The sequence below is a fragment of the Homo sapiens genome, chromosome 1 (assembly GCF_000001405.40).
Source record: "Homo sapiens chromosome 1, GRCh38.p14 Primary Assembly".
Lineage (NCBI taxonomy): Eukaryota > Metazoa > Chordata > Mammalia > Primates > Hominidae > Homo > Homo sapiens.
Genome location: NC_000001.11, coordinates 17,356,233 through 17,369,288, shown reverse-complemented (window position 1 = coordinate 17,369,288; position 13,056 = coordinate 17,356,233). Strand labels below are relative to the sequence as shown.

The window sequence follows — 13,056 nt, the reverse complement described above, 5'->3', positions numbered from 1 at the left end:
GCAGGAGAATCGCTTGAGCTGGGGAGATGGAGTTTGCAGCGAGCCGAGATAATGCCACTGTACTCCAGCCTGGCCGACAGAGCAAGATTCTATCTCAAAAAAAAATAAATGAATAAAATAAAGATAATAACCCAATGGGCTTCCAGGGGTGTCTCCACTGAACCGAGGGGTTAGTGATTGTAACTGAGCAGCTTAACTTCAAATGCATTTTACAACTTTTTTTCCCTTTCTCTTCAGTCTCAAGAAGTAACCTTAAAGCAAACTGCAGAAGCCTTTTCCCTTAACCCTAAAATAGACTCCATGTCCCTCCCTTTCCCACCATAAAGCCCCTTCACATTTATCTAACTGTATGCTAGTATCTAATTATATGCTTGCTTACAAGTTCCAGGCCAGGTGTGATGGCTCACGCCTGTAATCCCAGAGCTTTGGGAGGCTGAGACGGAAGGATTCCTTGAGCCCAGGAGTTTGAGACCAGCCTGGGCAACATAACGAAACCCTGTCTCTAAATGATGATGATGATGATGATAAAAGAAGTTCCAGGGGCTAATCTTGAGACAGACCGAGCCTGGAGACCCAGCTGCAGAATTCAAGAGATTACCTCCAGGCAGCTAGCCAACAACTCAGCACATTGCTGAAATGACGTCAGCCCGTGCTTTAGGGGGACTGAGACCCGAGTTAGCCATGGAAACAAGACACAGACCTTGTACTCCTCACAACTCCTGCACACCTCCTGTACCAAATTTCCTTTTTTTTTTTTTTTTTTTTTTTTTGAGACAGAGTCTCGCTCTGTTGCCTAGGATGGAGTGCAATGGCACCATCTCGGCTCACCGCAACCTCTGTCTTCCAGGTTCAAGCGATTCTCCTGCCTCAACCTCCCAAGTAGCTGGGATTACAGGCGTCCACCACCACGCCCAGCTAATTTTTGTATTTTTAGTAGAGATGGGGTTTCACCATGTTGGTCAGGCTGGTCTCAAACTCCTGACCTCAGGTGATCCGCCCACCTCGGCCTCTCAAAGTGCTGGGATTACAGGTGTGAGCCACCGCGCCCAGCCAGAGTTTCCCTTTTAAAACTCTTGCCTTCAACCCAGAAAGGCGAAGCGGTTGCTTTTGATGTGAATCCAACCACTCCCCCATTGCTAGTTTTGGTAAATAAAGTCACCTTCTACCACATTTTGCTCTTGTTTTTGGGCTCGAGCTCTCCAACTGGCATTGGCTGGACCTGCTTGGGTTACATGATCATAAAGTAACTTTGTATTGACTCCCGCACTCCTCACATGCTTATTCCATGCAGAAGTTCTCTCTCGGCAACTCAGGTTTGCTCATCATGCTCAACTCAGGTTTGCTCATCAGAAGTCCCATGGTCACTTGAGGTCACTGTGGTGGGCGCTGTGGTGTGCCACCGCGCCCCCCTTTAGGGGGAGGCACTCACGCCCCCAGCTGCTGCGAGTGCCGCAAGTCTCTCTTCTGGAATTGCCTTCTGTGCCTAGGAGCGGCCTAGTACCTGGTTGTGTCCCCATCTGGGGACAGCCACATCCAATGTGGGGGGACAAAGGCCAGGTTGCCTTGTCTGAATGCAGGACAACTCTGAGGCCCTTCCCCAGCCCCCAAGATACCCCGTGCATTGCCTGAAGCCTTGAGGCAACTGCATCCCAGTTCAGTGTCCCCCTCTGAGCCCCACACTCCCTCCCAGGTGCGCTTCCGGAAACACCCTCCCCCGGCACCCCCCATAAACCTCCTGCAGGCAAATCTCCATCTAAGAATCTGTTTCCAGGAACCAGACATAAAACACTCTCAATTCAGGACTCAGATTTGTAAAGGGGAATGTTCACCCTTTCCTATGAGGGCTTGATGCAGGTGCAAGGCTTAGAGCTGCGGAAAGGAAAGGAGGTGCCTGGCTTATTTCTTTCCTATTCTGCTGGCTGCAGCTGGCACGTGGTGATTTCCAACCTACAGTAGGTGGAATAATGGCACCCAAGAGAGATCAGGTCCTAATCTTCGGAACCTGTAGGTTGTCTCATATAGAAACAAAGAAAGAGTCTGTTTGCAGAGGTGAATGAAGATCTTGGGATGGGGAGATTGTCCTGGACTATCCGATGGGCTCCAAATATCATCACAAGTGTCCTTATAAGGGGGAGGCAGAGGGAGATTTGACACACACAGAAGAGAAAGCCATGTGACCAGGGAGGCAGAGATTGGCATGAGGCAGCCACTAGCTGAGGAAAGCTGGCAGAAGCTAGAAGAGAAACTCCCCTCCTAAAGCCTTTGGAGCTGGGATGGCCCTGCTGATACCTGAATTTCAGCCCAGTGAGACTGATTTTGATCTCCTGGTCTCTGGAACTGAGAGAGGGTCCATCTCTATTGTTTTAAGCCTTTTAGTTCGTGATGATTTGTAACAGCAGCTTCAGGAAACTCCTATGTGGTCTCTGGGGAAGGGAGAGGTGGGAGCAAGGCGAAAGGAACAGGGAAGTTTTTGTTTGATGGGCATGATCAGGGGATGGCTCTGTGCTCTAGAGGGATGGTAGCACTTTCTCTCCCGTGGGCTTCCCTGACTTCTCCAGAGACACCTCCCACCTGCAACCCATACGTGGCTGGGGTAACATCTGCGCATCTGCATGTCCCCTGATGCCAGGGGTGCCTTATCCACCAGCTTGTCTCTGAGTCCTTCCCCAGCCCTAGGAATCCAGCAAAATCTTCAGTTTTATCTGCTAAGTCCTGTTCGCTGCTCGAGGCAGCCCTATCTGCCAGGTTTGGGGCTCAACTCATACCAGCTTCCTCTGTCCCTGGTCCCCTTCTGGTCCACAGAAACACTCACATCCTTTGCTTCAGTACATTTGGGGCTGGGGGAGCAGCCGATTGTCTTCAGAGCAGTGTATTTTGACCCAGGTTTTATGGATCCACTTCTCCTTAGTGGGGCAGGGCAGAGGCTTTTCAAAAAAAAATACAGTTTTTATTTATTTATTTAGAGACAGAGTCTCACTCTATGCCCAGGCTGGAGTGCAGTGGTACAATATTGGCTCACTGCAACCTCCGCCTCCTGGGTTCAAGCGATTCTCGTGCCTCAGCCTCCCGAGTAGCTGGGACTACAGGCAAACGCCACCACGCCCAGCTAATTTTTGTACTTTTAGTAGAGACGGGGTTTCACCATGTTGGCCAGGCTGGTCTCAAACTCCTAACCTCTGGTGATCTGCCTGCCTTGGCCTCCCAAAGTGCTGGGATTACAGGCGTGAGCCACTGTACCTGGCCCATCTTAACCATTTTTAAGTGTACAGTTCAACAGTGTTAAGTATATTTACATTGTTGTGAAACAGATCTCCAGCTTTTACATCTTGCAAATCTGAAACTCTACACCCATTCAACAACTCCCTTCTTCTTGCTCCTCCAGTACCTGGCAACCACCATTCTACTTTTTTTTTTTTTTTGAGACAGAGTCTTGCTCTGTTGCCCAGGCTGGAGTGTAGTGGGGCGATCTTGGCTCACTGCAACCTCCACCTCCCAGGCTCAAGTGATTCATGTGCCTCAGCCTCCTGAGTAGCTGAGATTACAGGCATGTGCACCCCACACCTGGCTAATTTTTCATATTTTTAGTAGAGATGGGGTTTCACTATCTTGACAAAGCTGGTCTCAAACTCCTGACCTCAAGTGATCCACTTGCCTCAGATTCCCAAAGTGCTGGGATTACAGGTGTGAGTCACCTGGCCCAGCCTCTACTTTCTGTTCCTGTGAATTTTTCTAGGTAACTCATGTAAGTGGAATCATACAGGATTTCTCTTTTTGTAACTGGCTTATTTCCCATAGCGTAACGTGCTCAAAGCATATTCATGTTGTAACATGTGACAAGATTTCCTTCCTTATTTTTGAGACTGGGTCACTCACTCTGTCACCCAGGCTGGAGTGCAGTGGCACAATCATGGCTCACTGCAGCTTTGACCTCCCTAGGCTCAGGTGATCCTCCCACGTCTGTCTCCCAAGTAGGTAGGACTATAGGTGTGCACCACCATGCCCAACTCTTTTTTTTTTTATTTTATTTATTTATTTATTTATTTTTGTAGAGATAAGGCTTTGCTGTGTTGTCCAGGCTGGTCTCAAATTGGTGGGCTCAAGCGATTTGCCCACTTTGGCCTCCCCAAATGCTGGGGTTACAGGTGTGAGCCACCGTGCCTGGCCTTCCTTCCTTCCTTTTTAAGGCTGAATAATATTCCATAGCCAGGGTGGACAGATTGCTTGAGCCTAAGAGTTTGAGATCAGCCTGGGCAACATGGTAAAACACCCCCTCTTAAAAAAAAAAAAAGGAGATCTTGCTTTCAGATATTTACCCAGAAGTGGGATTGCAGGATCATATATCAGTTGTATTTCTAATTATTTTTAGGAACCTCTATACTTTTTTCCATAGCAGTTGTATCATTTCATTTTACAATCCCACCAATAGTGCACAAGGGTTCCAATTTCTCAACATCCTCACCAACACTTTTTTTTTATAGTAACCATTCTAATGGGTGTGAGGTCACTGTGGCTTTGATTTGCATTTCTCTGATGGTTAGTGATGGTAAGCATCTCTTCATGTGCTTGTTGGCCATTTGTATATCATCTTTGGAGAAATGTTATACTCGAGGGTTTACTTCCAGGCTTTCTATTCTATTCCATAGGTCTATTTGTCTTTATGAGCATGCCACACTGTTTTGATGACTGTAGCTTGTAGTATGTTTTGAAATCAGGAAGTGTGAAGGCAGAGGCTTTTGATATTCATCTTTTCCGCCATCATATATTCTCCATGACCTACATGAAAATAACAGGATCCCTGGGTGTTCTCTGAATATCTTGGACCCTTTTGAGCCAATATCTGGTCTCAATTTTAATGATCTCAAGCCATCAAGTTTTATTTTCTACAGAGGAATCTGAGTCTTTATGTCGAAGCCATAAAAGGCAATATAAAAAAGAACACCGAGGAGATGAATTACTTCATTCCACAAAAATCCATCGCTATCAGTACGTAGGTGAATGCCCAGTTGTAGGTGAGTTTAAAGAGGGATATGCCCAGATTCTCAGCGGGGCTTACCCCTCCCCTGCTCCCTCCTCCTCCTCTTCTTGGAAAGGTCCCGTGGGAAACTCAGAACGAACTAGGATCATGCAAAATTTTATAGCCCAAATACATGTCTGGGAGCAAAAGACACACACAATAACGTGGCCTTCAGTGCAGCCTGTTAACACTTTTCAGTTTGTTTTGTGATAGTCAATTCAACCATGACAAATGAGTGAATGAATGAATGATACCAACAACATCTTGACCTCATGTACAAAGTGACTTAAAAAAACTTTATTGCAGCTTCTTAGAGCAGAACTGAGTGTGCAGTGCTAGGACCATGTTGGGATCTTCAGAGTGGGAAACTGGGACATCACAGGAGAAGAAAGCAAGCCACTGCTGGGAGGGCTGGCCGCCCCCAGGGAGCCACAATATTCACAAGAGCTCTTGCTTGCCACACTGCAGAGGACCCAGCGACATCTGGCCAGGAGGGAGAGGACGCCAGGGAAGATGGGCTCAGGGCACCATGTTCCACCACTTGAAGGAGAAGGGCTTTCTGCGCACGTTGGTGCCGCAGTGCACCTCCCCATGCCTGATGTGGTAGGTGAAGAAGTCGTTGATGAAGGTGCACTGGAGGCCCAGTGGCTCCAGCAGGGAACACACCTTCTCCTCCAGGCAGCAGCGGCCGTTGATGACGGGCCCGAAGGGCTTGGGGATGCCCAGGTGCTTCCCTAGCACCAGCATGTTCACCTGCAGGGAAGTGAGGGTTCAGGTCACAGGCAGCAGCGGGCAGCCTGCAGCGCAATCTGAGCGGCCCCACCCTTCTCTGACCTTTGGAAATAATAGCCCCTCCAGGGGTGGTGGCTCAGACCTGTAGTCCCAGCACTTTGGGAGGCTGAGGCAGGAGGATCGCTTGAGCCCAAGAGTTTGAGACCAGCCTGGGCAACATGGTGAGACCCCATCTCTAAAAAAAGTATTTTTAAAAATTAGCTTGGCATGGTGGTGCGTGCCTGTGGTCCCAGCTACTTTGGAGGCTGAGGGAGGAGGATCACTTGAGCCCAGGAGGTCAAGGCTGCAGTGAGCTGTGATTGTGCCACTGCACTCCAGCCTGGCAGCTTGGGCGACAGAGCGAGACTCTACCTCAAAAATAAAAATTGCTGGGTGTGGTGGCTCATGCCTGTAATCCCAGCACTTTGGGAGGCCTAGGCGAGTGGATCACCTGAGGTCAGGAGCTCGAGACCAGCTTGGCCAACATGGGGAAACCCCGTCTCTACTAAAAATACAAGAATGAGCCAGGTGTGCCTGTAATCCCAGCTACTTGGGAGGCTGAGGCAGGAGAATTGCTTGAACCCAGGAAGTGGAGGTTTCAGTGAGCCGAGATCATTCCAATACACTCCAGCCTGGGTGACAGAGCGAGACTCTGTCTCAAAAATTAAAACAAAATAAAAATAATAGCCCCACTTTACAAATGAGAAAACTGAGACCCAGACGTGGAAAATTGTTTGCCTAAGGCCACCCAGCTATACTTGGACTACAGCTATTAGACTCCAAGTTCCATACTCTTATTTATTTTAAATTTAAAAATTTAGATTTGGGGGTACATATGCATATTTATTACATGGGTATATTGATTACTGGTGGGCACTGGGCTTCTAGTGTATCCATTACCCAAACAATGAACATCGTACCCGATAGGTAATTTTCCAGCCCTCACCTCGCTCTCATTCTCTCCATTTTGGGGGTCCTCAGTGCCTATTATTTCCATCTCTGTGTCTATGTGTATCCACTGTTTAGCTTCTACCTATACGTGAGAACATGCAGTATTTGATTTTCTGTTTTAGTTCACTTAGGATAATGCCTCCAGCTCCATCAGGTTGCTGCAAAGGACATTATTTAATTTTTTTTTTTTTTTTTTTTTTTGAGACAGGGTCTTACTCTTCACCCAGGCTAGAGTTCAGTGGTGCCATCTCAGCTCACTGCAGTGTCCACCTCCTGGGCTCAAGCAATCATCCTGCCTCAGCAGATGCCACCACGCCTGGCTAATTTTTGTGTTTTTTGTAGAGACAGAGTTTCTCCATGTTGCTCAGGCTGGTCTTGAACTCCTGGACTCAAGCAATCCTCCCACCTAAGCCTCCCAAAGTGCTGGGATTACAGGTATGAGCCACCCCTCCTGGCTGATTTCGTTCTTTCTGATGCTGCCCATGCTCTTAACACTACGTTCTCCTCCCCTACCTGTCACCTTCTGGTAAACTCTTTCTATTACTCAGGGCCCAGCTCAGATGGCAGCCCCTCTGTGAAACTGCCCATGAATCCCTGAGCTCTGGCAGTCACTCCTGCTCTGTGTTCCCATAACTCCCAGCACTGCGCCTTGCACGTCGTAGGCACTCAATAAACATCTGTTGACTAGACAGATAAATGACTGCCTCTGTTATGGCACTTTCCATATGTAAATAATGTATGTAAATGACTCTGCTTCCTCCATTAGATTGGCAGGTGGCCTGGTGAGGTGGGAAGGTGGGATTTTGGCTGTAGGCCTATGTGGGTTTGAATCCTAACTCTGCTATTCAATAGCTGTGTGGCCTTAGGCAAGTCATATCACCCCTCTGAGCCTCATCAGCAAAATGAGCCCAACACATATCTCCGTTGCAATGACAATTAGGTAAGAACATGTAGGCACAGCACTGTGCTGGCACACAGTAGATGCACAGCCATTTTCCATGGGTCATGAGTCCTCAAGGGGGCCACCGCCTAGACACAGCCCATGCGTGCTAAGTGCCTCGTACTGTTCATCACTCCCTCTTCCCCGCCTCCCACAGCCAGCTCCTGGGAGAGAGTCTGGTCTCATGCTCAGACTCCCTCTGGGGACCTTGAACAGTGAAGGCACACAGTCAGCCCTCAGCGTTGCTGACTACCATAGCCGCGGGCGTCCACTTTCATTCCCGCACTGGGAAGCCTGGCTTGGCCAAACTGGAGGGAAACAAAACGCTTGGGGTCAATACTTTAATTCCTTTTGGCCAAGGAACCCTTTATTCTACACACAATCTTTTGCAGAATGTCAATGCAGAAACAGAAAATCTGAACCACTGGATTTGAGGCACCACCCCGGAGCCCCAGGTGGGGCTGGCACTGCCTAGGCTGAGTGGGAACCCAGTTTGAAAACCACGGTGGTAGGGCCTGCTGGCTCCTCCCTGAACTGTAACCCCCAGCTCCAGAAGAAGGGGGTGGCTGGGGTTCCCCAGTAGGACCGGGTGAAGTCTCTGCCTCGGTCTCGGGTATGCTCTGAAGAGAGGGAGGAATGGGGCCAAGGAATGGCAAAAACACAATGGATGATATCAAGACAGCACTTAGGGGCCACGGTGAACGCTCAAGACAAAGGTGGGACCACCCACAAGTGCAGCCTCCAGAAGGTGAATCCCACTCAGCCTAGGCAGTGCCAGCCCCACCTCCTCACAGAGGCCTTCCCGGACCCTCCAGTCTGAGGTGGTGCCCCCACGTGTGTCCCTGTTATGGTGCATAAGGTGACTTGAGGGTGTCGTGTTTGTTGGTTGATTCCCTATCCATCCCTCCATCCCCTGCATCACCCCGGAGCCCCAGGGAAGGTGCTACGTGGGAAGGCAGCATGGTAGTTACGGCATGGGGTTTGAAGCCAGAGCCCTGGCAGAAGCGACGATAGACTCTGACTTCTGGAATTGTTGTGAGATACCAGAAGGTGCTCTGGAAGTGGTACAGGGCCATGCAAGCCTGTATAGAGCACCCTTGGCATAAGTGACTCCATCTTAGAAAAAGACTCCATCTTACATTTCAAAAGGCACCATGCTAACAGGAACCAGATGTTTGCCTAATCAACAGAGACTGCACCCAACCAGATAGGGACATAAGCAGGCATACTCTATTACTATCAGTCCTCACCAGAGGACTCTGGCTATAAAAAGAGCAGGTCTTCACTAGCTCAAGATGACTGTCTTTTTTTTTTTTTTTCCCGAGACAAAGTCTCACTCTGTTACCCAGGCTGGAGTGCAATAGCATGATCTTGGCTCACTGCAACCTCCGTCTCCCAGGTTCAAGTGATTCTCCTGCTTCCGCCTCTCAAGTAGTTGGGATTACAGGCTCCTGCCAGGACACCTGTCTAATTTTCGTATTTTTAGTAGAGATGGGGGTGTCACCATGTTAGCCAGGCTGGTGTCGAACTCCTGACCTCAAGTGATCCACCCGCTCTGGCCTACTAAGGTGCTAGGATTACAGGCGTGAGCCACCGCACCCGGCCTCAAGATGACTGTCTTAACAGACACTGTCTTGCTGTCACTAGTGATTAGCACCTGGCACCCGCTGTTGAAGGCTCTGCCAAAATTACACTCTTCCTTGCAAGACGTTGATGTCCATTTAGATCAGCCCAGGACCCTCTCCTTGTCCACATCACTCTCCTTGGACTGGTTCACTGACCCCTTTTCCTATCCCCTTCTCTCTTGATGTTAAATATTGCTTTGTTTGGTAAGAATGTTTCATCTGTAACATTTCTGTGTTGATTAAGTACACTACTATGTATGGTTTGCAGGACTGACTGACTTGTGGAGTGGCTTGAGCCTGTGTGCCCAGGGCTCTGCCCACCTGAGGACTGCCCCTGGGGAACTCCGTGTGGCTTGTGGATTTTATGATGGAAATAGCATCAGTAGAAGCCTGACCTTGTGGAAAGACACCAACGTGCATGGACCTGGTCACGTCTGACCTTGTACCACTCAGGACAAAGCTACAAACGGTTACAGAGAGGAGCCAAGCCCTCTGGGACCGCCCGGGTGCCCCACTGGCCTCTCGGGCTGAGCTACCTCCATGCCACACCCTGGGGTTTTAAAGCCGCCACCTCCTCACCATGTTGGGGAAAAAAGCTTCCGCCTTAGAGAACTCTTTGAGCTTGAAGAGCTGCGGGATGTCAATGATGTCACTCTCGGCCAGGCCCAGCTCCCGCTTCAGCAGCTCGCGGTTCCAGTCGATGCATCTCTTGGGGAAGGGGCAGGGGCAGTGAGTGGGGGACTGATGGCAGTCGGGGGTGGGGGTGGGGGACAGTGTGGGGCTGAGGCCCCCTGCCGGAGGGTAGGACCTGGGACAGTGTCAGGAAGGCAGTGAAGGTGGCTGCCAGGCCTCACTGCACAGAGGGGCCTCTGGCCAGTGCTCTCGGGGGACCCTGGGGCCTCCCATTCCCTCTGCTCCCTCAGCCTCTCCCAGTCTTTGCTTCTGCCCTTGCTTCTGTGTCTCTGTCTTCCAGCGCATCCTGAGACCCTGAGCCTCTGTGTGCCTCTAATCACTGGGAAAGTGGCTGAGCCGGGGACAGGGCGTCAGGTCTGCTGGGGTGTAGGCACCCAGGCTCCTACCTCCACAAATGAATTATGTTCTCTCAATGTCTTGTTTGACAGAATGTTCTTTATTTTCTGCTGTTTTTTTTCTGTCATGGAGAAAAAGAAAAAAAAGGCAAATGAACTTAGAGGTCGATTTCCCTCTTCCCAGCCAGTGCCGGGGGGGGACTCAGTGTTCCCATCTATAAAATGGAGTCAGTAATAATTCTTACCATACAGGTTTGCTGTGAGCATCTGCAAGTCAAATATCTTTAATACAATATTTTAGCAGTATAAGTTCTCATTAAAAATGTTGTTCTCACCTCATTTAAATTCTTTTTAAAATATATTTTTATTTTTATTATTATTTTTTTTTTTTTTTGAGACGGAGTCTCGCTGTCGTCCAGGCTGGAGTGCAGTGGCGCAATCTCGGCTCACTGCAGGCTCCGCCCCCTGGAGTTCACGCCATTCTCCTGCCTCAGCCTCCGGAGTAGCTGGGACTACAGGCGCCCGCCACCTCGCCCGGCTAATTTTTTGTATTTTTAGTAGAGACGGGGTTTCACCGTGTTACCCAGGATGGTCTCGATCTCCTGACCTCGTGATCCGCCCGCCTCGGCCTCCCAAAGTGCTGGGATTACAGGCGTGAGCCACCGCGCCCGGCCTAAAATATATTTTTATAGTGTAATTTTTTTTTTGTTTTGAGACAGAGCCTTGCTCTGTCGCCCAGGCTGGAGTGCAGTAGTGCGATCTTGACTCACTGCAACCTCCACCTCCCGAGTTCAAGCGATTCTCCTGCCTCAGCCTCCCCAGTAGCTGGGATTACAGGTGCGCACCACTGCGCCCAGCTAATTTTTGTACTTTTAGTAAAGTCGGGGTTTCATCACGTTGGCCAGGCTGGTCTCAAACTCTTGACCTCAGGTGATCCACCCGCCTCAGCCTCCCAAAGTGCTAGGATTACAGGTGTGAGCCACCACACTTGGCCTAGTTTAATATTTTCTTGTTTTTTTTTTTTTTTTTGAGACTGAGTCTTGCTCTGTCACCCAGGCTAGAGTGCAGTGGCACATTCTTGGCTCACTGCAACCTCCACCTCCCGGGTTCGAGTGATTCTCCTGCCTCAGCCTCCCAAGTAGCTGGGATTACAGGCACCCGCCACCACGCCCGGCTAATTTTTGTATTTTTAGTAGAGACGGGGTTTCACCATCTTGGCCTAGCTGGCCTTGAACTCCTGAACTCGTGATCCACCCGCCTCGTCCTCCCAAAGTGCTAGGATTACAGGCATGAACCATCGCGCCCAGCCTAGTTTAGTGTATTTTAATAGCACACTTACAGGAACAGCACAGAAAACAGACAACATTAAAAATATCTACTTGCATGCAGGACAGACAGCTCAGAAAAGTATAGTGAATGGATGGAATCTACTGTGTGATAAAAATGCTACAAGTACCATTTAGTTGCTGTCAATAAGAAATGTCCTTGTTTTAAGCCAGGCGTGGTGGCTCATGCCTGTAACCCCAGCACTTTGGGAGGCCGAGGTGGGTGGATCACCAGGTCAGGAGTTCGAGACCAGCCTGGCCAGCATGGCAAAACCCCATCTCTACTAAAAATACAAAACATTAGCCAGGTGTGGTGGTGCACACCTGTAATCCCAGCTACTCGGAAGGCTGGGGCAGGAGAATCACTTGAACCCGGGATGCAGAGGCTGCAGAGAGTCGAGATCGCGCCATTGCACTCCAGCCTGGGCAATAGAGGAAAACTTCGTTTCAAAAGAAAAGAATGTCCAGAAAAATTTAACAGGTTTACTTATAATTATTATAAAGTTGAACCATGAAACTTGTTCACTGGAACATTTTGCCTTGCATTAACGCTAAATTATCTTATCTCCAAAGAGATCCCATCGAGAGAGGAAGAAACAGGTCAGCCCTCTCCTGATGCCACACAACATACTCAGATCTGAGGTGGAGCTCTCAGCCACAGAGGCATCTCAGCCCGGGGCCTGGCCCATGTCTGTGAGCTCTGCTGAGAGAGTAATATTTCATCTGTGCTCCAGCTATACCGAACCTCCCCGAGGTCCTCACACACATCGTGCTTTCTCCTGCCTCTGAGCCGCCCCACCCCCGTCCCTCTGCCTGTGGTATCTCTCTTCCTCTCATTTCCCTGCCCCGTTTGCCCAGCCAACCCCTACTTGCATGCTACTGCTTGGCCTCTGCCTCCTCCAAGAAGCCTTCCCTGAGCTCCATCCACTCAGACACCCCTCAAAGCCCCTGTGTTGGAGCTGTTCTTTTGACTCACTTCCCCCTGGCCTGTGAGCCCACAGGGCAGCAAGCTGTTCTGCCCTGTTCATGCAGTCTCCCTAGCACTTGGCACAGTGCCTGGCGCACAGTAGGTGCTCAGATGCTACCCTATTGCCTGGATGATTCCCTCCAGGCAACAGCGGACTATGGGAAGCAGGAAGGTGCACAGACAGGAGAACAAGGCAGGGCCGACTTACTCTTGATCCCTTCGAACAGCAGGGCCTCCCCGTGGCCCTCATTCTGCTGCTCCTGGAACAGTTTGTAGCAGGACCTGGGGCTGGCCAGGAGCAGCCGGAAGCCCTGGAGGCAGAAACACTGGGGTTAGAAGTCAGCTTTGCCCCTGGAGCTCCCAACGAGGGTGGATCTGCTGAGGGTGGGAGTAGTGTGGACTTGGACCCAAGCTGGCCACCTCCTCTACTGCCAT

At 49.9% G+C, this 13,056-nt stretch overlaps 1 protein-coding gene across 5 annotated transcripts in view, besides 1 other annotated feature; it reads right to left on the bottom strand.

Moving 5' to 3' along the window:
* The window catches only part of PADI4 (peptidyl arginine deiminase 4), a 55,808-nt gene continuing 48,036 nt past the window's right edge, over nt 5,285-13,056 (bottom strand). For all 5 annotated transcript variants that reach the window (NM_012387.3, XM_011541151.2, XM_011541150.1 and 2 more), the window contains 4 exons: nt 12,830-12,932; nt 10,381-10,451; nt 9,881-10,009; nt 5,285-5,767 (listed from right to left, as the gene is read on the bottom strand). In NM_012387.3, the coding sequence (NP_036519.2) occupies nt 5,534-5,767; nt 9,881-10,009; nt 10,381-10,451; nt 12,830-12,932 (537 nt within the window). In that variant the 3' untranslated portion in view covers nt 5,285-5,533. The remainder of the gene's footprint in view (nt 5,768-9,880; nt 10,010-10,380; nt 10,452-12,829; nt 12,933-13,056) is intronic.
* Nucleotides 10,012-10,731: an enhancer, noted in NCBI's record as "H3K4me1 hESC enhancer chr1:17685053-17685772 (GRCh37/hg19 assembly coordinates)". NCBI's record gives its function as "activates a minimal SCP1, AML or CMV promoter by ChIP-STARR-seq in naive H9 embryonic stem cells {active_cell/tissue: H9 hESC(naive)}" and the evidence as "EXISTENCE:reporter gene assay evidence [ECO:0000049][PMID:30033119]".